General features: G+C 41.3%; 1 annotated feature.

The window, feature by feature from the left end:
* Positions 22,550–23,217: an enhancer, noted in NCBI's record as "H3K4me1 hESC enhancer chr2:72263893-72264560 (GRCh37/hg19 assembly coordinates)". NCBI's record gives its function as "activates a minimal SCP1, AML or CMV promoter by ChIP-STARR-seq in primed H9 embryonic stem cells {active_cell/tissue: H9 hESC(primed)}" and the evidence as "EXISTENCE:reporter gene assay evidence [ECO:0000049][PMID:30033119]".

Below are 26,086 nucleotides of genomic sequence, written 5' to 3'. Positions count from 1 at the left end.
AAAAAGTTATATCATCAAATACTAATACTAATAGAGAACCCAGTCCAGCCCAGACATGTGTGGAATTTAGGTACAAGAAGGAGGTGTCATGTCAGATCAGCAAAGATGTTAACATAACTAGAAAATAATGGTTATTCATATAGAAGATGACAAGATTGGAATCCTCTTTTTTACCACATACAGAAATCAACTCAAGATAGATTGTGAACTTACGCATTAATATCCCAAATTTAAAACTCCAGGTACAAAAATGTTTTTGAAAAAAGACACAAAAAGTTTTTCTTGTAAAGGAAAAGATCAATAGATTTGTCTATATTAAAATTAAGAATCTTAGTTGCCTAAAAGACATATAAAAGAAAGTATACAAATAAGCCAGCATAACAACCAGCTAACAACGCAATGACAGAAGAAAATCCACACTTATCAATACTAACCTTGAATGTAAATGGGCTAAGTGCCCCATTTAAAAGGCACAGAGTGACGACCTGGATAAAAAAGCGAGACCCAATGGTATGGTGTCTTCAAGAGACCCATCTCACATGTAATGACACCCATAGACTCAAAATAAAGGGATGGGGGAAAATCTACCAACCAAATGAAAATCAGAAAAAAGCAGGGGTTGCAACCATGATTTCAGATGAAACAAACTTAAACAAAGATCAAAAAATGACAAAGAAGGGCATTATATAACGGTAAAGAGTTCAATTCAATGAGAAGATCTAACTATCCTAAATATATATGCACCTAACACAGGAGCACCCAGATTCCTACAGCAAGTTCTTAGAGATTTACAAAGAGATTTAGACTCCCACACAATAATAGTAGGAGACTTCAACATTCCCCTGTCAGTATTAAACATACCACTGAGGCAAAAAATTAATAAAGACATTCAGAGCCTGAACTCAACATTGGACTAAATGGATCTGATAGACCTCCACAGAACTCTCCACCCAAAACAACAGAATACACATTCTTCTGATTACCACATGGCACATACTCCAAAATTGACCAATCAGATATAAAACAATCCTCAGCAAATGCCAAAGAACCAAAATTGTGCCAAATACACTCTCAGACCACAGCACCCTAAAAATAGAAGTCGAGATTTTAAAATTTGTTCAAAACCATGCAATTACATGGAAATTAAACAACATGCTCCTAAATGATTTTTGGGTAATAATGAAATTAGGGCTAAAGTCGAGAATTTCTTTGAAATTAATGAGAACAAAGTTATAACATACTAGAATCTCTGGGCAATAGCTAAGGCGGTGTTAAGAGGGAAATTCAAAGCACTAAACACCTGTGTAAAAAAGCTGGAAATATCTCAAATTAACAACCTAACATTACAACAAAAATAATTAGAGAAACAAGAGCAAGCCAAACCCAAAAGCTAGCAGAAGACAAGAAATAACCAAAATCAGAGGTGAACTGAAGGAAATTGAGACACGAAAAACCATTCAAAAGATCAACAAATCCAGAAGTTGGTCTTTTTGAAAAAATTAATAAGATAGATAGTCTGCTAGCTAGACTAATAAAGAAGAAAAGAGAGATGATCCAAATAAACACAATTAGAAATGACAAAGAAGATGTTACCACTGACACAAAAGGAATACAAATAACCATCAGAAACTACTATGAACCCCTCTGTGCACAAAAACTAGAAAACCGAAAAGAGATGGATAAATACCTGGACACATACATACACTCTCCCAAGACTGAACCAGGAAGAAATTGATTCCCTGAGCAGACAATAACAAGCTTCAAATTTGAATCAGTAATAAATAGCCTACCAACCAAAAAAAGCCCAGGACCAGATGAATTCACAGCCAAATTCTACCAGATGTACAAAGAAAAGCTGGTAGCATTCCTACTGAATCTATTCCAAAAAATTGAGGAGGAGGGACTCCAACTCATTCTATGAGGTCAGCATTGTCCTGACACCAAAACGTGGCAGAGACACAACAACAACAACAACAAAAACTTCAGGCCAATATTCTTGATGAACATTGGCCTCTTGATGCTGAAATCCTGAAGAAAATACTTGCAAACTGAATCAAGCAGCATGTCAGAAAGCTAATCCACCATGATCAAGTGCCTTCATTCCCAGGACGCAAGGTTGGTTCAACATATGCAAATCAATAAATGTGATTAATCACATAAACAGAAGTAAAGACAAAAACCACACAATTATCTCAATGGATGCAGAAAAGGCTTTCAATAAAATTCAAAATCCTTTCATATTAAAAACTCTCAATAAGCTAGGTATAGAAGAAACATACCTCAAAATAATCAGAACCATCTATGACAAAACCACAACCAACATCATACTGAATGGGCAAAAGCTGGGAGGGTTCCCCTTGAAAACTGGCACAAGACAACATGCCCCCTCTCACCACTCCTATTCAACATTGTATTGGAAGTCCTGGCTAGAGCAGTCAGGCAAGATAAAGAAATAAAGCACATCCAAATGGGAATAGAGGAAGTGAAACTATCTGTGTTTGCAGACAACATGATTCTTTACCTAGAAAAGCCTTAGTCTTGGCTGAAAATCTCCTTCAGCTGATACACAACTTCAGCAAAGCTTCAGGATAAAAAATCAATGTACAAAAATCATTAGCATTCCCATACACCAACAACAGCCAACCGAGAGCCAAATCAGGAATACAATCTCATTCACAATTATCACAAAAAGAATGAAATACCTGGGAATAAGCTAACCAGGAGGTGAAAAATCTCTACAGTGAGAATTACAAAACACTGCTCAAAGAAATCATACATGACACAAACAAATGGAAAAACATTCCATGCTCATGGATAGGAAGCAGTTTACAGATTCAATGGTATTCCTATCAAACTACCAATGACATTCTTCACAGAACTAGAAAAAACTGTTTTAAAATTCATATGGAACCAAAAAAGAACTTGAATAGCCAAGGCAATCCTAAGCAAAACAAACGAAGCTGGAGGCTCACATTACCCGACTTCAAACTATACTACAGGCCAAAAGTAACCAAAATAGCATGGTACTGGTACAAAACAAGACACATAAACCAATGGAAAAGAATAGAGAGCCCAGAAATAAGGCAGCACACCTACAACCATCTGATCTTTGACAAACGTGACAAAAACAAGCGATGTGGAAAGGATTCTCTATTCGATAAATGGTGCTGTGATAACTGGCTAGCTATATGCAGAAGATTTAAACTGTACCCCTTTCTTACACCACATATAAAAATAAACTCAAGATGGATTAAAGACTTAAATGTAAAACCCAAAACTATAAAAACTCTGGTAAACAACCTTGGAAACGCCATTCTGGACATAGGATCTGGTGAAGATTTCATGATGAAGACTCCAAAAGCAATCACAACAAGAGCAAAAATTGACAGATGGGATTTAATTAAACTAAACAGCTTCTGCACAGCAAAGGAAACTATCAACAGAGTAAACAGGCAACCTACAGGATGGGAGAAAATATTTGCAAACTATACATTTGACAAAAGTCTAATTTCCAGCATCTATATGGAAATTAAACAAATTTACAAGCAAAACTGGAAAAACTCCATTAAAAAGTGAGCAAAGGACGTGAACAGACACTTTTCAAAAGACATACATGTGGCCAACAGGTATGTGAAAAAAAGCTCAACATCACTAATCATTAGAGAAATGCAAATCAAAACCACAATAAGATACCATCTCACACAAGTCAGAATGGCTATTATTAAGAACCAACCCAAATCTCCATCAATGATAGACTGGATTAAGAAAATGTGGCACATATACACCATGGAATACTAGGCAGCCATAAAAAATGATGAGTTCATGTCCTTGTAGGGACATAGATGAAGCTGGAAACCATCATTCTCAGCAAACTATCGCAAGGACAAAAAACCAAACACCGCATGTTCTCACTAATAGGTGGGAATTGAACAATGAGAACACTTGGACACAGGAAGGGGAATATCACACACCGGGGCCTGTTGGGGGGTGGGGGGAGGGGAGAAGGGATAGCATTAGGAGATATACCTAATGTAAATGACGAGTTAATGGGTGCAGCACACCAACATGGCACATGTATGCCTATGTAACAAACCTGCACGTTGTGCACATGTACCCTAGAACTTGAAGTATAAAAAAAAAAAACAGAAGTCCAGAAATAACAGATGCTGGCAAAGTTGCAGAGAAAAGGGAATGCTTGTATACTGTGGGTGGGAGTGTAAATTAGTTCAACCATGTAGAAAGCAGTGTGGTGATTCCTCAAAGAGCTAGAAACAGAACTACCATTCAACCCAGCAATCCCATTACTGGGTATAGACCCACAGGAATATAAATTATTCTGCCATAAGGACACATGTACATGAATGTTCATTGCAGCACTATTCACAATAGCAAATACATGAAATCAACCTAAATTCTCATCAGTGACAGATTGAGAAAATGTGGTACATATACACTATGGAATACTATGCAGCCATAAAAAAGAATTAGATCATGGCTGGGCGCGGTGGCTCACACCTGTAATCCCAGCACTTTGGGAGGCCGAGGCAGGTGGATCACGAGGTCAGGAGATTGAGACCATCTTGGCTAACACGGTGAAACCCCATCTCTACTAAAAATACAAAAAATTAGCCAGGTGTGGTGGTGGGCACCTTCAGTCCCAGCTACTCGGGAGGCTGAGGCAGGAGAATGACGTGAACCCGGGAGGCGGAGCTTGCAGTAAGCCAAGATAGCGCCACTGCAGTCCGGCCTGGGTGAAAGAGCGAGACACCATCTCAAAAAAAAAAAAAAAAAAAAAAAATTAGATCATGTCTTTTGTGGGAACATAGGTGGAACTGGAGGCCATTATCCTTAGCAGACTAATGCAGGAGCAGAAAACCAAATACCACATATTCTTACTTATAAGAACAAACTAAATGATGAGAATTCATGAACACAATGAGGGGAACAACAGACACTGAGGCATAGCGAAGGGTGGAGTGTGGGATGAGGGAGAGGATCAGAAAAAAATAACTACTGGGTACTAAACCTAGCGCCTGGGTGATGAAATAATCTGTACAACAAATCTCAGTGACACAAGTTTACCTACGTAACAGACCTGTACATGTATCCCTGAACCTAAAATAAAAATTAAAATAAATAAATAAAAAGAAAGTATACAAAGTAGAAACTGAGAGAAGGTATTTGCAGTAGCTACAGATAATGGATTTGCATTAAGAATATATAAAGAACTCCTATAGATTAATAAGAAAAGCACATACAACCCAATAGAAAATTTCCTGAAACTGTGAACAGACATTTCACATAAGAGGAAACATATCATCCATAAATAGATGAAGAGATGCTCAGCATCATTAGTGATCAGAAAATGCAAATTAAGACCACAATGGGATGTTTTTTAATATACATCCAGTTGGCAAAAATGAGAAAATCTGACAACACCAAAAGTTGAAGAGGATATGCAACCAAAGGACCTCTTTCTCATAATCTTGCTGGTGGGGATTTAAATAGATACAACTAATGTGGAGAACAGTTTGGTACTACCTCCTAAAGTTTATCCTACCTTTTGAGCTAATCCTACACATATACTCAAGAGAAACTTGCACACGTACAACAGAGGAAACAGGCATAAGAATGTTCATAGCAGTGTTCCAAATATCAAAAATCTGGCAATTTAAATGCCCATCAGTGGAAGAGTGGATGAATAAATTGTTATAAATTCATATGATAAAATATTACATAGTAGTCAAAACAAATGAACTAAAATGATATACAACAATATGGATGAATCATAGTAATATAATATTAAGTGAAAAATGTAAGTCCCAAAAGATTCAGCATGATACCACTTTTATGAAGTTAAAATAAAAAATGTATATTTTAATGAATATATAGATGCAGAAAAACTATACAAAAAGAAAATATTTAAGTGATGAATACAGGGATGATGGATGATGATTCATTTGAGTTGGGACAGGCAGGGAAATGGGATGGAGGGAGATCATATATTTAGATGTAGGTTATTGTCAAGGCCCAAGCCTCTGTTTTGGGTGATGGTTTCATAGATGCTTATGTAATCATTAAAGCTAACTAACTAACTAAAACTATCCATTTCAATTACTTATTGCTGTATAACAAGCCATCCCAAGCCAAATGACTTAAAATAACCTTTGTTATTATACCTTATGATTCTCTGGAGTTGAGATAGGGCACAGAGAGGCTTATCTTGTTCCACATAGCTGGGGTCTCAGTTTGGATGAGTCCAACAGCTGGGGCTGAAACAGCTTGGGATTGGTCAGGTGTTGCTCCCTTTCTCTCCATGGGGCTAGCTTAGGCTTCCTCACAACACGGCGGCCTCAGGGTAGTTGGACCTCTTACATGGTGGCTCAGGACTCCAAGAGTGACTGCACTGAGAGGCCCAGGTAGAAGCTGCAAGTCTTCTTATGACCTAGTCTCAGAAATCAAGGCAAGAGGAGGAATAGACTCTACCTCTCAAAGGATGAAAAACATGTGATACAAGAAAGGGAAGAATTGATGGCACCTGACTTGAAGACAAGCTACCACATGGCCTACTTAACTAAATAAATGAATGCATAAAAGCAGGTCACATGTGGACCAATGAGAATGAGTCATAAACCAATGGTTATGATTAATTCAATTCTCTACATCTGAGTTCCATTGAAAGAATGAAAATACAATTCTAAGAAACAATTTCTTGAGTACTATTATGTTAAAACATAAAATTTTAGTTTTTGTAGGTCAAAAGGTCAAATATAAGCAGTTTTATGCAATTCAACCCAATAGCAATAATTAGAGATATAACATTTAATTTAATTTCTATGTGAGAAAACTATATCATAAATAGATAAGTTATCTTCAAATTAATCTGTTGGTTGTACATAATTTCCACAAATTCTGAATGATTTTTTCAACCTGCCAGAAACATTCTGTTTATGTAAAGATTCAATATAAAAGAAGAGTCAACAAAATTATGGAAAAGCAAAGTAATGAAAAGATACTTACCCTTCCAGATAATAAGATATACAGAATTTTAAAACTATAAAAATAAAAAGAGTATGGCACCAACATCAGAACACACAAATGTAAAAGTGGAATTAAATAGAAAGTCCAAACAAAGACAAGTGTTTATAAGGGTTTAGTATAAGGTAAAGATAAGATTTCATTGAAGTAGGGAAAGAGTGGGCTGTCTGGTAAATGGCACATGCATAGTTGGATTCTTTTAAAGCAAAAATATGGTTGGATTCTCTTCCTTATTTTTTACAAAAAATACATTTCAAATAGGAATCCTTTCTACTCTTGACACTAGAACAAAGCAGTAAAGTAAGATGCTGATAAGTTTGACTACATAAAAAGCATAAATTCATACTGTGGAAAATATTATGATGAAAAAAGTAAAAGAAAAAAGTATCAAAGTGGAATTTTTTTGCAATAAAAATATAGGAGTCAATCTTCTCTATACAAAGTGCTCTTAAAAATCACTAAGAAATGTATAGCTTAATTGTAAGAACTGGAAAATTACATGAGTAGGCAACTCACAAAACTAACAGCTAACAAATAAATACATTGATATTCAGTAGTAAAAATAAATGCAAAATGAGATATATTTTTTCTCCTTAGCAGATTTGCAAAGCTTAACAGGAATATTATTGCACAATGCTTATTGGGATATAGAGAAATCTGCACTTTCATAACTTACTGATTCAAGTATAAATTAGTACAAACTTCCTAGAGGACTATTTGACCATCTCTATCAAGAGTCTTAAAATTGTGCAAGCCCTCTGACACCAGCAGTTCCATTTCTGGGAAGGAATGTAGCCTACGCAGATAATTGGAGAGTTAAACATGATAGATTGAATATGTGGATTTCTCTCTGCCCTCTCCTAAAATCCCACTCGACTGACTAAAGTTAAAAGAGAAGTGTAAAATAACAAGGAGACGACAATGGAATAAAGTTGTCAACACAGCTTCGGAAGTTGAAAAATGGAAGCCTTAGCGGAGAACGGCAAATCGAACACATGTATTTAATTTTGCTCTTTTCCAAAATCTTTCTAAAGCTACAGTAAAGGGATTGTTTTAAAAGGCCTGAATCCACAGCGTGGGGAGCAACCCATTTCTGTTAGCTGGAAAGCCAATAGAAGAGTGGTAATTTACTTGACAAATCTTACAACCCTGGGAACTCACCTGGATTGTATCACAAGACCTTCAAAAGACCTGGGAATTGAAACCTCTGGAAGGAGGTGATGGAAGGAATGTGTGTTGTGTGAACTAAAAAGTATCTGAGATAGGCCTCAATCAATTTAGAAAGTTTATTTTGCCAAGGTTAAGGACACATGCCTGGCAAGCAGGTCTATGCCTTCTCCAAAGATGATTTTGAAAGCTTTAATATTTAAAGGGCAAAGAGGGAATAATGGGTAAAGAGGAAGAAATTTTTAAGAGGTGTGGATAGGTAAGAGACAAACAGTTGCATTCTTTTGAGTCTAATCAGTCTTTCACTGAATACACAATTTACATGTGGGGCGGGGGCTGGGTAGAGGAACACTTATGTCTAGTTCAGAGAATCTGCATTTTTACATTAGAGGAAGCAATCAGATATGCATTTGTCTCAGGCGAGCAGAGGGATGACTTAGTGTTCTGTCCTTTGTCCTGCACCTGTGAAGATAAGCTATCCATTTACATCTTGGGGCCCACAGGATTTTCCTAGTTGGCAAATTGTAAGGGAGGTATGTAACTTAAAAAAAAAATCTTTGTAGCTATCTTATTTAGGAATAAATAGGAGGCAGGTTTGCCTGACACAGTTCCCAGCTTGACTTTTCCCTTTGGCTTAGTGATTTTGAGGTCCTGAGATTTATTTTTCTTTCACAGTTGCTAACATAGAAAGACTTCTCTGAAAGCTGTTTAAGAGGCAGTTAAAAAAAAAGGGAATTAACTCTCTGAGACCCTTCTCCAAATCTGTGCCACTGAGTGCCTGCCCCGCCCCTACCCTGGCAGATCGTGAGGTCTGTTGTCTGAAGAGGGCTGTTGGCATTCCTTGACTTGTGGCCATATCATGCCACACTCTGCCTTTGTGGCCACATTGCCTCCTCCTCTGCTGGGTGTGTAATCTCCCTCTGTGTTATAAGGAGAGTTGTGATGGCATTTAGGGCCTGCCCAGATAATCCAGAATAATCCCCTCATCTCAAAGTCTTGAATGTAATCTCATCTGCAAAGACCCTTTTACCAAATAAGTTAATGTAAATTTACAGGGATTAAGCTACAAATGTCTTTTGGGGAACCATTTGTAAACACCAACCTTACATTTCTGGGATGAACCCCATTTGGTTTTGCTGTATTACCCTTTTTAGAGATGCATTGCTGGATTCAAGTGACTAAATAAAGGATTTTTTTTAGGTTTAATATAATGAATAACGACATTGGTTTGAGATTTTTTTGTAGTCTTTGTTAGGTTTATTTTTTATTTTGTTTATCTATTTATTTTGTCTTGAGGACATAATCCCAGGGAATCTTTGGTAGGTTTAGAGACCATGGTCGTGGTGTCAATTCCTACTTCATGTATTTTGAAGAACTAGTTATTTGTTTCGTGATATCTATTGTTTTTTCTGTTCCCTTTTAAAAATTAATTTATACTCTTTATTATTTCCTTTTGTTTTCTTATTTAGGGTTTAACTTGAAATTTTTTTTTAGTTTCTTAGGTGGACGTTTAAACTATTAATTTATAATCTTTTCCTCCTAATATATAAGCACTTCATGCTACAAATTTCCGTCAGAGCACTGCTTTATCTGTAATCCACCCACTTTGGTTGATTGTGCTTTCACTTTCATTCAATTCAAAATATGGTTTTACTTCAATTGTGAATTCTTTGAAGTATGGAAGGCTGGGTTATTTAGAAATGTGTTGTTTAGTTTCCAAATATTTGCAGATTTCCCAGAAATCTTTGTGTTATTTATGTCTAGTTTAATTCTGTTGTGTAAGGAAATTTTGCATGATTTCAATACTCTTAAATTTAGGCAGATTCGTTTTATGACACGGAATATAATCTGTTTTGGTCAATGTTCCATAAACACTTGAAAAGAATGTGTCTTTTGCTATAGTTGGATGGTGTAATCTGTAGATGTCAATTAAGTCAAGTTGGTTGATAGTGTTGTTCAAGTCTTCTGTATTCTTTTTTTTTTTTTTTTTTTAAGAGAGAGGGTCTTGCTCTGTCACTCAGGCTAGTGTACAGTAGTGTGATCATAGCTCACTGCAGCTTGTTCTCCTGGGCTCAAGCCATCCTCCCACCTCAGCCTCTCAAGTAGTTGGGATTAAAGGTGCACACCACCATGCCCGGCTAATTTTTAAATTTTTTGTAGAAATGGGGTCTTGCTATGTTGCCCAAGCTGGTCTCAAATTTGTGGACTCAAGTGATCCTCCTGCCTTGGCCTCCCAAAGTGCTGAGATTAAACACATGAGCCACCGCACCTAGCCCAGTCTTCTATATTGTTATTAATTTTCTGTCTACCTGTTCTATCAATTACTGGAAGAGGAATGTTGAAATCTCCAATTGTAATCATAAATGTATCTATTTCTTTGTTCTATTGTATGTTTTTACTTCATATATTTTGAATCTCTTCTAATAGTTGCATATGCATTTAGGATTGTGATGTCCTCTTGATGAATTTACCCCTTTATTCTGTCTTTATCACTGATAATATTGGGTCTACTATATATTAAAATAGCCTCTCCAGCTGTTTTATGAATAGTATTTGCATGACATATCTTTTTCATTGTTTTACTTTTAACCTGTGTTTTTATATTAAAAGTGAGTATCTTCTAGAGAATATATAATTGGTCTTGCTTAAAAAAATCTAATAAAAGTCTCTGCCTTTTAATTTCTGTGCTTAAGCCACTTATATTTAATAAAAATTCCAATATTTTTCAACTTAAACCTACCATCTTGCTATTTGTTGTCTTTTTATTTAATCTACTCTTTGTCCCCCCTTTTCCCTTTCCTTCATTCTTTTGAATAATTTTTTAAAATTCCATTTTACCTCCACTATTGGCTTATTAGCTCTATGACTTTGTTTTATGTTTTAATTATTGTCTGTGGTTTACTATAAACATCTTTAACTTATCATAGTGTAATTTAAACTGTCACATCACATATAGTTATACAAACCTTAAAATAGTATATTTCCGTTTCCTTCATCCTTTGTGCTATTTTTATACATTTCCTTCACATATGGGTAAACTGCAAAACACATTGTTATTATTTTTATGTTAAACAGTATGCTATCTTCTCAAGAGATTAAAATGTGATTTTTATCCTTTGTAGTGCTCTTTATTCTTTTTGTGGATCCATTTTTCAATCTGGTATTATTTTTTTTCTGCCCATGACATTCCTTTAACTTTTCTTTTCTTTTCCTTTTTTTTTTTTTTTTTTTTTTTTTTTTTTTTTTTTTGAGATGGAGTCTAGCTCTGTCGCCCAGCCTGCAGTGCAGTGGTGCAATCTCAGCTCACTGCAAGCTCTGCCTCCCGGGTTCACGCAGTTCTCCTGCCTCAGCCTCCGGTGTAGATGGGATTACAGGTGCCAGCCACCACACCCAGAGCTAATTGTATTTTTAGTAGAGAGGGGGTTTCACCGTGTTAGCCAGGATGGTCTCGATCTCCTGACCTCGTGATCCACCTGCCTCAGCCTCCCAAAGTGCTGGGATTACAGGTGTGAGCCACCGCACCTGGCCTCTTTTCTTTTTCTTTTCTTTCCTTTTTTTTTTTTTTTTTTTGACCGTGTCTCACTCTTTCAGCCAGACTGGAGTGCAGTAGTCCAATCATGGCTCACTGTAAACTTGAATTCCTTGGTTCAAGCAATCCTCCCACCTCAGTCTCCCAAGGAGCTGAGACTACAAGTGCGTGCCACTATGCCCAGCTAAATTTTTAATTTTTTTGTACAGATGGAGTCTCACTGTGTTGCTCATGCTAGTCTGAAACTCCTGGGCTTAAGCAATCTTCCTGCCCTGGCCTCACAAAGTGTTGGGATTACAGGCGTGAGCCATTGTGCCCGGCCACTTTAACTTTACTTATAGGCAGGTCTGCTGACAATGAATCCTCTCGAATTTTGTCTAAAAATTTTATTTTATTTAAATTTTGAAAACAATACTTATCTGGGTAAAAAATCTAGGTTGACAGATTTTTTTTTTCTTACTTGATGATGTCTCTCCTTTGTCTTCTGTCTCACATACCTTCTGACCAGGAGCCAGTAAGCTGGTAAAATAATAGGCACATTTGGCTTTTCTTCTCTCAGTTGGTCAAGTTCTGTGCTGCTTGCTATCCAATGCTTTGTATATTTGTCTGGTTTTCTGATTGTGTAAGGTGAAAGGGTAAATCTTGTCATCGTTACTCCATGTTGGCTAGAAGCTGAGCTCTACTGCTCTGATCATTTTTAAGTTTCTATTATGGTTTCTTTTTTTGAACCATTATTTAGAAATGTGTGTCTACAATAATTATATTTTTGTTATTGAGTTCTAATTCAACTGCACTGTAATTAGAGATTGTAGTTTGAAATGATAGCAGTTCTTTGAATTGCGTTAAGGCTTACTTCATGTTCTGGTATGTTGTCAGTTTTTGTAAATCACTCATGTGTGCTTAAGGAGTATATGTATTTTCTGATTGAGGAATGCTGAGATCTAGAAATAGCCATTAAATCAAGCTTCTTCAGTGTATCTTTCAAATCCTATACATCTTTATTGATTTTTATTCCCTTTCAGCCATAAGTAATTGAGTGAGTTGTGTTGAAATTGCTGACTCTTATAGCGGATTTTTCCATTCCTCCCTGGGTCTATCATTTATTCTAATAGGTGCCAACAAGTTTGTAATTATTTTATCTTGCCAGTACATTAAACTTTTTCTCATTAAGTTGTGACTCTTTTTATCCTTAATAATGCTTTTCATCTCAACGTTTATTTTATCTTTTATTGATGTAGCTCCCTAGCTATTTTTATTTGTAAGTATTTACTTACAACATCTTTTTTTATCCTTTAACTTTCAATCTTTCTCTGTCTTCATGCATTATGTGTGTCATTTTACAACACCACATAGATAAATTTTTAAAAAGTTGACTCTGATCATATCCATCATTTAACAGTAGTGATTTGACTGTAGTGATTATTGACATCTTTAAACCTTGTGCTTTCTGTTTTCCCTGTGCTTATTTTTCTCAAATTGAGTTTTGTGGTTGATTTCTTCATTTTTCTACCACATGCTAACATTGGCGTTTTCCCTCAGGGTCACTATTTCTTTCATATTTATTTATGTTTTGCCTCTTCTAGTTTCCTTTTATTTTTTCGGGGTTTTTTTTTTTTCTGATTGTTTTTGTTTGCTCTTAGATTTTTTTTTAACCTAGAGGTAGATTTTGTTTTATTTTTAAATCCCTAGAAATTACGATTCAGTATGTACTAAGGATAGGGTAAATAGGATTTTGCAGTAATACAAGACAAAATAAAATCTCTTAGCTAATTCTGCCGCATAATCCCAACTAGAAGCTATTCATTCTGAGGAATTCTTTATTGATAAATCATAGAAAGAAAAGTAATTATGATCCTCATCGATTAACATATGAAGCTACTAATAAAGATGTTTTGAAGTTTTCAGCTGAATGACTTGGCAGACAAGGTAAATTCAAAGACAAATTAAAGAACACTAGCTCTTTGCTTTATCTACAGTCTTTTATTGTGAGTTATTTTTAAGTCTATGCCTGGATTGGAAGATTTAATATTGTTAAGATATCAATACTAGTGAAAGCAATCTACAGATTTGATGCAACTCTTCTCAAAATTCTAATAACATTTTTTGCAGAAATAGAAATATCTATTCTAAAATTTATATGGAATCCCAAGGGATCCTGAGTAGCCAAAACAATTTTGAAAAAGAACAAGTTGAAGGTCTCACACTTACTGATTTCAAAACTTCTCACAAAGCTTCAGTAATAAAAACAGTGTGGTATTGGCATAAAGACAGACATATATACCAACAAAATAGAACAGAGAGCCCAGAAAAAAAAACCCTTGGATACATAGTCAAATGCTTTTCAACAAAGAGCCAACTCTATTCAATGGGGGAAAGGACAGTGTTTTCAACAAATGATGCTGGGAAAACTGGATATCTTTACACAAAAATAAATGAAGATGGATTCCTATCTTACACTGTATATACCAATTAATTCAAAATAGGTTACAGACCTAAACATTATAGTGAGAACTATAGAACTCTTAGAAAAAAAAAAAAACAGTATAAAAGCTACATGACTTTCAACTTGGCAGTGCTTGTTTGCATATGACACCAAAAGCATAGACAACAAAATGAAAAATAGATAAGCTGGACTCCACCAAAATTAAAAACTTTTATGTACGAAAGGGCATTATCAACAGAGTGAAAAGGCAACTCATGGAATGGGAGAAAATATTTGCAAAGCATATATCTAATAAGGAATTAATATATAGAATATAAAAAGAATTCTTACAACTTAACAACCAACAAAAACAAAAACTGATTTAAAAACAGGCAAAGACTTTAATAGGCATTTCTCAAAAAAATATACAAATGGCCAATAAACACATGAAAAATGTTCAATATTACTAATCTTTAGGGAAATGCAAATTAAGACCACAATAAGATACCACTGCATACCCATTACAATGGCTATTATCTAAAAATCCCTAAACAAAACAAAACCCAACAAACAAAACAAAGAATAACAGATATTGATGAGGGTATGGAGAAATTGGAACACTGTGGGAGTGTTTATTTTACATTGGTGAGAATGTAAAACAGTGCAGTTGCTATGGAAAACAGTACTGTGGTTCCTCAAAAAAAAATTACACATAGGATTTGTATGTACTCTAACAACTCCACTTCTGAGTATGTACTCAGAAGAAAGAAAGCAGAAACTGAAACCGGTATTTGTACACCCATGTTTATAGTATCATTATTCACAATAGCCAATAGGTGGAAGCAACTGAAGTGTCTATCAGTAGCTTTATGGATAAACTAAATGTGGAATACACATACAATAAAATATTATTCTGCCTTAAAAAGGAAGGAAATTCTGACACATGCTATCATAGGGATTAACCTCGAAGACATTATGCTAAGTGAAATAAGCCAGTCGAAAAAGGACAAATACTATATGATTGCACTTATATGAAGTACCTAGACAAGTCAAATTTATAGAGACAGAAAGTAAGATGGTAGTGGCCAGGGGCTAGGGGAAGGGAGGAATAGACAGTCAGTGTTTAATTAGTACAAAGTTTCCATTTTGGAAGATGAAAAGCTTCTGGAATTGGATGGTGGGGATGGTTGCCCAACAATGCAAATGTGCTTAATGCCACCAAACTGGAATGGCTAATATGATAAATTTTAGGTTATGTATATTTTAAAACACACATAAAAAATTCAGTATTCTACATCTGACTGGGAGAAGTCTCTCACTAAAAACAAACAAACAAACAAGCAAACGAAAAACCTTAAAAACCAACAAACTATACCCATCCCTATTGCAGACAAATTAAATCAGATTTTGGAGTATCAGTTTTCTTTTTTTTTTTAAGTAAGTTCCACAGCTGATTCTAGTGTAAAGCCAATGCTGGGAATACTTGACCTAAATTATAGATCTCAATGATGAAAGAATAGTTTCCTAAGTTTGTTATTTTCATTTTCCTTATGTTTTGTGAGTATGATTACAAAAATAGAAATTGTATTTAAGGCAATTTTTCTAGGGTCTGGCTATATTTTAGTGAGAAGGCTCTTTAAAGAATAAATATAGAATTTTATACCCAGCCAAACCTTCAATCAATATTGAGAGTAGAATAAAAGCATTTTCAGACATCTAAATTTTCAAAACTTGTATCTCTCATTTTTTCCAAAGAAACTACTGGAGGTTGTGTTCCAACAAAATAAAAGAATAAACTAAGAAAATATTGACAGGGGAGCCAGGAAATAAGATGCCAACACAAGATAAAAGCAAAATGAATCCCTAAGATGTTAGTGAAAGAAGTACTAGAAAAACGGTGCTTTGGCATGTGAGACAGCCAGAACAGATGGGAGCAGCAGCTATGTTAAGGAAATCTAAGAAAAAATGGAAGATATTGACCTTATTTAGAGAGGTTTTATGGTTCTGTCAGAAAGCCTGGAGAGAATTAACTATAAGTATTGAGCAAGCTAGGCAAATAAAATCAAGGCCGTTATTGACTCCAGGAGGAACTAAACATTGTACAGGAAAGCAAATGCAATCATAGTATACTACCTGACTCAGATTTGGAAATGTTGTAATTCAGATCTATTAGAAGACCAGGGAGAGGGGAAATGTTTGTGTGTAGCAATGTAAGAGTGCTCCCTTTTTCATCTTCCATAGTAGTAAGTCAGTAAATGATGTAAATTTGATTAATCAAGAAAGCAGAATATAAACAAATTATTTAGATATATACAGTTAAATACTAGAAAAACTGCTAAAGAAATTGCAAGAGCCTCAGGGAAGCAGGGGGAGTGGGCCAGGATACTGTTAATTTTCATCATAATTTTTTTTGACTTTTAGACTTTTAAAATTATGTTTAGAACATTCCTCTGGTTGAAGAAATGTTTTAAAGTATACAAGGACATAAAGATATATTGTAAGAATGTTCATCACAGCATTGATTGTAACAATGGAAAAATTACTACCTACTTGGGGCGATAATTTGAATGTATGTCTAACATGCAGTCATTCTGCAAATGAAAATAACACTTTAAGAAGACAATAGAAGGCCATTCTTGGCCAAATGGATTATTAACTTACATTGAGGCAGTAGTTCAGAGGAGGGAGACAGCCTTCTAGCTGGGATTGGCTAGAGGGAGGAGATAAAGATTGTATTTGGCTGGTAAGATTAGGTTCAAGGGGCTCTGAAATTGGGCTCTGAGAGGGTCAGGAGTCCGGAGTCAGGGAACAGTGGGCAAATTTGTCTGGCAGGCAGGGAGAGGGAATGGTGTGGAGGAGAAGCAATTCAACTGTGAAGGGCATTAGGGCTATGCTAGAGAAAAACAAGGGCTTTTCATGGCATTTGTAACCCCTTCCAATGTGCAGCCAAATGTCATCCGTCAGGCCCTTCTGCCATGTGCTGTGTGTTGGTGGTAGCGATGACAGGGATCTCAAGAAACATTTATATGGTCTTTCCCTGTACCTTTTCAGATAGAGACATATAGTTTTGAGGTGGCCAGTAGCCAAGACTAGGCTCAGTGTAGCTGGAGTACTAGGGATTAGGGGTGAGTTTGAGGACAGGTTTAGCAGTGAGTCTGTGGCCAGGGTTAAAGTTCAGTCTGAGGCCAGGTTTAGGGTTCAGTCTGTGATCAGGTTTGGGGTTTGTCTATTCACGCTGGTTTCTGATTGGACCCCCCTTTTCTCCTGTGTCAATAAATGTTGCTTAAGTGCACGAATGAATAGCGAAGTTTGGCAGGCTAAGTCTTCTTAAAGCCCTTCAGCCCCTGCCTTTCTTCGTCCCTTCTTTCTCGGCATCCTTTATCCCTCTTACCACACCACACACACAGGAATCGTTCCTAGACCTCCCCAGGCCCAGGCTTCCCTGAGTCTCAACCTACCACCTCACTCCATTCTTAGTAGCGGGGGTCTGAGCCCTCAATCAATGGGTGCCTGGACTGTGAGGAAGGTGTTGCGTGGTGGGAAGAGGTGATGAGGAGGCCACAGTCCCCGGCAAGACTCTCCATCCCCCTGCCCACCTCACACCAACCAGTGGCCAGCACCTCTCCTCTCCTCATCCACACGGGGATGGCTGCCTTACTCAGCACCCAGGAATCCTGGCCCACACAACACCTGGGCACTTTCGAGGCAGGTTACTGAAACTTTAATCCCAGCTTTCCTTTCGTTTCTGACCCCCCCACCCCTGCAGCTTCCATGGTCTCAGCTGGGCCACTCCCTTTCCCTGTCACCAGCAGGCACCTGAGTCAAGCCTTGAAAAAGTACTCCTCATCCAGCCAAGCTCAGCCAGCCAGTGCAGGAGTGTACCTTGGCTAGGTCAGTGTGTGTGTATGTGTGTGTGTGTGCAGGTGTGTGTGTGTTGGGGGGGTATGATGGTGGGGCCACGGGACAGGACAACGTCTCCTCATCACTGCCATCTTCCTGGGTGCATGGCTGCCTGGCAGCTGCTCCTCGGCTGCTTTCCAGTTTGGCTGCCTTCCTCCTGGACTTCGTGTCCCAACATGTGGGAGTTTCAGGAGTGGCTCTGAGGATGCAGGGCCCAGCCTGGCTGGGAAGCAGCTGGGGAGGGAGGGGCCCACTCCCCTGCTGCCCTCTGCCTCTCTCAGCTTTTGTTGGTCTTCCTCTCTCCCTCTCTGCCCTCTTTGATGCTCGTCTCTCTGGGTCCCTGCCTGTTTCCACATGTACCTCTCCTCCTCCATCCCTGGCCCTGTTTCTGTCTGTCCCTGTCACTGTCTTGCTCCCTCTCCAAATCTCTGCTTCTGTCCCTACCCATTCTCCATCCCATGTCTTGTTCCTTCTGTCTTGTTCCATTTGCATCTCTTGCTTGCGGAGTTCACTCCATCATCACAGACTAGAAGAACAATCTCCTCCCTAATTACTTTTGCAAAGTCATGCAACAAATACTCATTGGTGATGATAATAATTCGAGGGAGGGACCCTTCCCTCAACCTCCCCCCACCCAGTTATCTCTGTATAGGCAATTTCATCACTGAGTCACTCCTTGGAGCAAAAGCAATTCAAAACCACAGAACGTTCGCTGAGCTCCTAGCAGGTGGGTGCCAATAGCATGCTGGGTGCTGGGAATGTGTGAGTAAGACAGGTCTGCATCCTCCAAGAGTTTACAATGGAGTGGGGGGTGGGCAAGAACACAAATGCTGAAAATGTGAAAAGCAATACAGGATGAAAGAGACTGTTCAAGGTAATTACTGAGACTGATGGTAGATAGCTGAATATCTCCACTGTTTTGAGGACTGAGGAGTTGTCAAGGGCGGCAGGAGCTGGAAAATCATTAGGACGTTTGTGAGAGGAGGGCCAGTTGTTAAGAGATGGGTGGGATTTGTAGATGATGTGAGTGCCTGTGGGGTGTAGCCATTCCAGGCTGGGGAAGCAGTGTAGGCAGTGGTGTGGAGGTGGGAAAGTCGAGGGCGCTGTGAGGTTAGCTTGCTGGGACCTCGGGGTTGGTGTTTGTGAACAAAAGGGAAAAGGTTGAGAGGCCATTTGGGTGCAGATGGTGGACTTCGAATTGACCTCTTGGGCAGTAGGGAGCCATGGTGGCTTCTTGAGCATGGGAATGATGGGTTACAAGTGAGGTATCGAGAAGTAACTCGGGGCTAGAGTGTGTCCTGCTTCCTCGCCTGACACCCAAGGGCCAGAAGACTTGGACCAGGGACATTATCCCTGTCCATGAAGGCAGCTGTGCAGATGCTGGCTCCCACTGAGGACCAAACTCGAGGCCACAGCATGGTTCTGCAGTGGGAGGCCTGTGGAGATGCTCAAGGGTTTCAGGGAAACCAGGACTTGAAGTGGCTGTGTCACCCTGTGCTTCAAACCTTGGATGGCTCCTCTTGGACCTGGATAAAGCTGAGAATCTGCGCAGAGGTCTGTAGGTGCTGCATGGCAGTTCCATCTGCAGGTCCATGGCAGATGGATGCAAGTCAAGCAGGAGCTTGTGTCCTGCTGTGTTTCCATCACTGTGGGGTCTTCTCAGAGGGTTTGACCACCTCTCCACCACTTCCATACCGCCTACTCCTTCCCACCCTTGGGGGCTGTGCTGAGGGCTTCCCCAGGGAGGCCTTTGATGCTCACTGCAGATGAGGCTGGTGCTGCCTCTGTGTCACACTTAGGGAGTTCTGGCTGCTGGGCAGACACCTTTGGGTGGAGTGCTTGTCTTCTAATAGGCGCCTGTAAAGCACCGAAAGCATAAAAGATGACATTAGTGAGGAATGTGGCTGCTAATCCTAGTGTCTCTTGAGTCAGGGAAGGAGCTGGGGAGGGGACAGTCCCCTTCCCATCCCCAGGACGTCTGCCCCTTCAGAGTCTCCACCCATTGAGAAGGCTCAGAGGCCTCCTTTCCAGAAAGCTTCCCGAGAAGTGACCCTGCCTGGTTGCTTCCATCTCTCAGGACTAGGTGGAGAGAGAACCCATCTGAGGCCAGGAGACTTGAGCTCTGATTTCCAGAATGGCTGTGAAGTCAGGAAAAGCCACTTCTTGTATCTGAACATCCATGGGAACAAGCAACTGAAGGCCCAGCTCAGAATAGCTTAAGCAAGATGGGATTATTGCCTCACATAGCAGAGTCCATACTCAGGGTGGTTCCGGGGCAGATGGATCTGCAGGCTGACAGTCCCCTCAACTCCCAGGGGCCTGGGAGCTTTCCATCCTTCCTCTGTCTAACACAGCAGTTGGCCATGTCTCCCTCAGGGTGGTCAGTGATAAAATGACATCTGGTAAACAAGTGGGGGTAATTCTCTCTCCCCTCAATCATGATGAGAAAACTTTCCTCCACCCCCCTATGTCCTGTTGGCCATACTCAGGCAAGGAGATAGATGACTGTGTCATCAGCTTACAGCACTGGCTCACAGAAGAAAGCTGCGGGCGTGTTGTGACTGTTGGAGTGATGGCATTTGGAGGGGTTTGGGGAGGGTGCAGGGAAAGTTTGAATGTCCTGCATTGCATAGAATAATTTGTCCCTTCTGTGACCTTTAATGTCATGTCAGTCATTCATGAAGGTGAGAAACCTGTTTTTTATGATCCAGGCGTAGGCCCTTAACTCTATTTTATAGAAGCATCCTTGCCCAATGTTTACCAGGTACAGTGGGAGAAAATACTCCATGGTTTTCTTTGGAACTTGACTGAGAGCCTCCTGCCACTTCTGAAGGTCCCAAAGTGTTGGCAGTGCTGCTCCATGGGGTGTGAGTGGCTGCAGCGCCCCAGGAGGTCTGCATTGCCACCGGCACAGTGCAGCCTGTGCTGTGGTCCCGTTTGATCGTCTGCACACCAAAACATGTTTAGCTCATTAGAAATTACTCTTCTTATATTTCTCCTTTATGTTAAAGGCATTGTGTTGATGCTTCCCTTTGAAATTATATTATCTATGGATTTCATTTCAGGATAGTAAAGGGGATGGCTCAAAATGTTTTCTATCAAAGGTGGATTGGGTTTGGGAAGGTGGCAAGCCACTGGCCTCAGCCAATAGAGAGACCCTGGAGCTGAGTGGGGGCGTCCTTCTCACGAACTGGGGATGGTGAGTTTCAGGCAAAATTGGAGTTCCCAGCAACAGAGGAGGGGGCAAGGTGGAACATCTGCAGAGGAGCCTCCAAAGCGTCTTCGACACTTACCCCACGAGGGCCTCAGTTTTCTCATCTGTGAAAAAGGTTGATAATCTCAGTTTTAGCACCTCCTCCCTGTGAGACTCTGGTGAAGGTACCTGTGGAAGTGCCTGGAATGAGTAAACTGCTGATCAAATGCGATGCCCCTGGGGTCCTGTGTCCTTTAACTGTCTTTACTGATCCCTTTTCCTGCCTTTGGGAACCCATATCCTGAGAATCCTGTATTTTAACCCAGTTTCATTAACCCCATTACATCAAATAGAAGCGCAGTTACCAAAGCATCTCACAACTCCACCAAAGTGCAATGTTTCTTAGCTCACTTTCCTGGGAGGCCAGCACATTGCACTGGGAGGCCAGCACATCGCACTGGGAGTCCCTCCCAAGGTACGCTGCCTGCTGGAAGGCCCCATGTCCAATAGAAAAGAAACAAATGGGGATGGCGGCATTTCATGGATCAAGAAAAATGGAGACTCCTGGCTGATACTGCCAGGAGTCCACCCTGCTCCAAAGATTCAACTTGCTGCTGCCTGGAATTTCATCCCTAGAGATTTGGACTCTGGCTTTAAGCTTCTTCTATGAGGAAGTAGCATGGTAGGGATGTGGAGTCTGCAGTCCCCATGCCCACAGCCCTTTAGCAATGCCACAGCTTGCTTGAGTTGGTGGGGTTGGGGGAGGGTTAGTCTCATCCTGTTCTGAAATCATATTGTGGTTCAGAGTGAGGTTGGCTGCCTCATTTAAAGCCATGCATGGATTTAAGTGCCAGAGTCATGTATTTAACCATTCTGTGCCTCAGTTTCCTCATCTATAAACTGAGTAATAACACATCACTGGATTAAAAGAAACTATGTATATAAAGCTTTAGAACTGTGTCTGGCACATAGCTTAGTCTCAGTAGGATTTAGCCTTTAACTGACTCTCGTTTGCTGACACATGAGGCTCTGGGGCTGGGAGCAGCGTCCTGGGGTACCCCGATCTGCCAGGCCCAGTAGCTGCAGTCCTAGGGATCATGACTCACAGGTACTCTGGGGGAACCACTTCAGAACCTCTGCCTCCCCTCCCAGGCTGGGGTGGCTGGGCCAATGGAATGACCTCAGCCAGGAGGAATGAGGGGCGCGGAGTCTGTAGGCAGGCCCCTGCCTACCCCTGGAGCATCCGCAGCCCCGGCTTGCATTCGCTCCCTAGCAGGTGACCACAGCCAACAGGACCCCAGGGGTCACCCTGGTGACTCACTGTAGTCTCTTGATCCAGACCTTGTTCAAGGGACCTCCCAGCCTCTTCCTTCTGCAGCCCACTGCTTAAAAGTTGATCCCAGCCCCATTACCCTTGACCTATAGCTGAGACCTCAAGCTGGCCTCTGACTAATGCATGACCCTGATCTTTGACTGACCTCTGACCCTGGCCGTGGACTGGCTTTGATTCAGACAGTCGCAGTTCTGGCCTCTGCTGGGCCCTGGCCCTGGCTGCAGATGGACCCATTGCACAGACATGAAAGACACTCAGGGGGTTTCTGGGCTGATCTCCTCTCAGCACCGCATCTCCCTCCCTTCAGATCTCCTGGCTCCAGGCTGAAGTGCTCCGCCTGCCAGGCAGCCTGGCTCCCTGAAGGTGGGGAGTGCCTGTCTGCCCCCCTTGCTGGGAGAGGCCCACATGGAGAGGAGGCCTCAGCCTTAGAGAAGATACAGGTGGATTCTGCTGGTGTTATCTCTTTAGTCCACTTCTCAGTGATGCCTCCTAAGGAGCATCCTTCCTCCAGCCCCTGCTGGCTACAGCTCCCAGATGAAAGGGAACCCACAACCCCCGCCACCACTGTTGCCCTGCCATTAGACACTTTTCCGGGAGCTTCCTAAGAGCAGCAACAAAGCTTCCCAGCTGGACCAAGTTTCTGTAGGACAGAACACGGCAATCAGACCGGGAGAGCCCCATGGTCAGGAGTTGTGTCTCAGTCACCCATGGTGGGGCGGGGGGGGGCCCAAGGAGGGGCTAAGAGCAACTTGCGTGCTGCAGTTGAACACACTTGGACCCTAACCTTGGCTCCACTATTTACTAGCTGTGTGTCTTTGGGCCAATCTCTGAACCTCTCTGAACTCAGTTTCCTCACCTGCAAAACGGGGCCAGTGGCATTACTTACTGCAGAATGATGAAGATGGAATGGGCTACACTCTGGGAAGCCCCAAGCATGTCTGGCACTTGTACTTGCTCAGTAGATGTCAGTGGTCAGGGATAGTCTGTCCCTAGCACATCAGGGGTTCCACAGGGCAGGGCAGCTCAGTGAGGCTGAGATCTTTACCCCTGCAGAAGCAGGGTTTTCTCACTGAAGAGGGTCAGAAGGCAATGTCTAATCTAGCCTCCCCTGCCCGCCCTTGCTCCTTGTAGCTTCTCAGGGACTCTGGGCCTGCAGGGCTCAGCCCAACCTCTCCACAGAGCTCTCCTCTGTCCTTCACCGTAAGAAAGCCTCTCCTCCTCAGCCTTACCTATTTATGTCTACCCGTCCTTCCTGGGTTGCCTGACCCAACCCACCCCCTGCAGGAAGCTTCTGAGGGTGACGTCTGCCAGGGCCTGGCTCTTGAAAGCTAAGTCACAAAAGCCAGGGCTGATCCTCCACTGTGGATGGCCTTGCTGTGATCCCTGGCTGCCTGGTTCTCCTGAGACAGTGAGGATCAGGGCCCGGCCTGCCCCGGCACCATGGACCCTAGGGTGGGGCCAGGGTGAGACGTGTTTCCTGAACCTGAGCCACCAGGCCGGGGGCATCTCCATTGCACTCATTGCCCAAGCAGGTACTCAAACTGCCCTCAGAAGGGTTTGGTTTCTTTTCCTCTCTTTTCAGTTAATTAAATCAATTAAGTCATTTTGAGTCATTCCTGTTGGCCACTTGGGGCTTTCTCCTTAGCGAGGCCTGATTCATTAAGGCAGCAGGACAGATGCCAAGGTCAGCCATGACGTCATGATCCGGGGTCACACTTCCTGTGGGCGGAGAAGAGAGCCATACAGGCACCCAGGGCGTGCCCCAGGACTGACCTCTGGGGAGGGACCCAGAGAGTAAGGATATGGGTCCCCGTGGGGTCACTTGGCCAAAGCAAGTCATGAACTTAGGCTGCCACCCATGTTTTCAGTCAGCCTCAAGCATTCTTCAAGGGTTTCCTTGACGCCAGGTGCTGGGGGAGGATGAAAAGATGGTTCAGTGCCTCCCGAAGATGCCCTTTTTATTAGGTTGATTTCAAAAGTAGTGTGGCCTTTTAATGGCAGAAACCACAATTACTTTTGCACCAACTTGTACCTTAGCTGCTAGGAGCCCAGATAGAAAGTTAACCCTTAATCACACGATCTGTGTTAGCCCCTGTGTTTGGCGTATTTGAGTCTTTCTTTCTCCTCTTGAATTTTTATGTATTATCATTTTTTGTTAGCAGCATTATATGCATGTATTCTATGGTAAGCTACTTCATGTCCTCTTTGGAAGTAGGTAGAGTATAAATCATAAGTCAATTAATGGGGCCTGGAGAAACTCATAGACCATCAAGAGGGACTCATGCAAACATCCTATACCTTTCCCCCTTGGATGGAGAAAACCTCAAGCGACAGGGTGTGAAAACGTGAGTCTTCTGGGGCCTGAACACCTGGAAACAAATTGCAGCTGCAATCTTCAGTTGAGGAGAAAGGGAGTAGGGGCCTGGGCTCAAACGGCAGCTCTCTGCGGAAGGAAACTGGCCGGGGTTTAAGGTCTCAAGCCCTGACTGCCGGTCCCAGCTCCACCTGTCTCTGGCAGTGGGACCCTGGGAAGATTCTCTTGCCCCTTGGGCCTCTGTTTATCTAAGTGTTAAACGGATTTGATGAGGGGCCTGACCTTGGCTCTTATGGGGCTGCTTTGAGGCTCCCTTGAGCCAAAGAGTGGATTTAGTGATTTCTCTGGTCAGAGCTGGTTTGCCCACTAATCTTGCTGCTCAAAGAAGAAACGGGAGAGTTTGCTCAGGCTGGGAAGGCCACCTACTCTCAGCTTCTAGGAGAGAAATCTATTATATAAATGACTGTCCCCTGACCCCCGAGAGACCCACTACCCATCTGAGGCCCCATGCTCTCTGGCCACTGCCTCCCTGCTGGCCTGGGTTCCTCCATGCCACACTCCCAGCATCCAAGGGTGACCGAGCATGTGAGTCAGGGCTGGCTCCGACTTCCTTGAAGCGGGGTCCTGCTCCTTAGCATGGGGTGCCCTCCCTAGGCTCTGGGCAAGAAAAGCCTGCCGGGTGAGCTGAGAGAAGCTTTCCGGGCACATCTCCTGACCTGGAAAGGGGCTCAGTGGGCCGCGACACACCTGCCTCCTAGTGATGCTCTGCAGATAGCATCATGGTCACAGTCAATATTTATTGAGCACATGTTAATCCACACACCAGCCCCATGAGTCAAGTACCATTATTAACTTAATTTTACAAATAAGCGAACTGAGGCATGAAGAGATTATGTCACACAGTTAGGAAATGGCAGATTACTAGTTCTCTTTTCCATTACAGTCTACTGATGCCTATTCACTCAGTCACACTGTAAGTATTGATTGAGCGCATACTGTGTGCCAGATGCTAAGGATCCTTTAAAGAACAAGATAGATAAAAAGCCCTGCCCTCCTGGTGCTAACATTCTAGAGGGAGGAGAGAGACAATAAACAGCAAACATAGACGCATGACAGAGTATGTTAGAAGGTCATATGAGGTTTGGGGAAAAACAAAGGAGAGTCAAGTGGATCAGGTCTGCTGCCAGGGA

This window comes from Homo sapiens, chromosome 2 (genome assembly GCF_000001405.40).
Source record: "Homo sapiens chromosome 2, GRCh38.p14 Primary Assembly".
In the NCBI taxonomy this organism is placed as follows: Eukaryota; Metazoa; Chordata; class Mammalia; order Primates; family Hominidae; genus Homo; species Homo sapiens.
The sequence above is the reverse complement of the archived record's forward strand: the minus strand, read 5'-3'. Positions and strand labels throughout refer to the sequence as shown.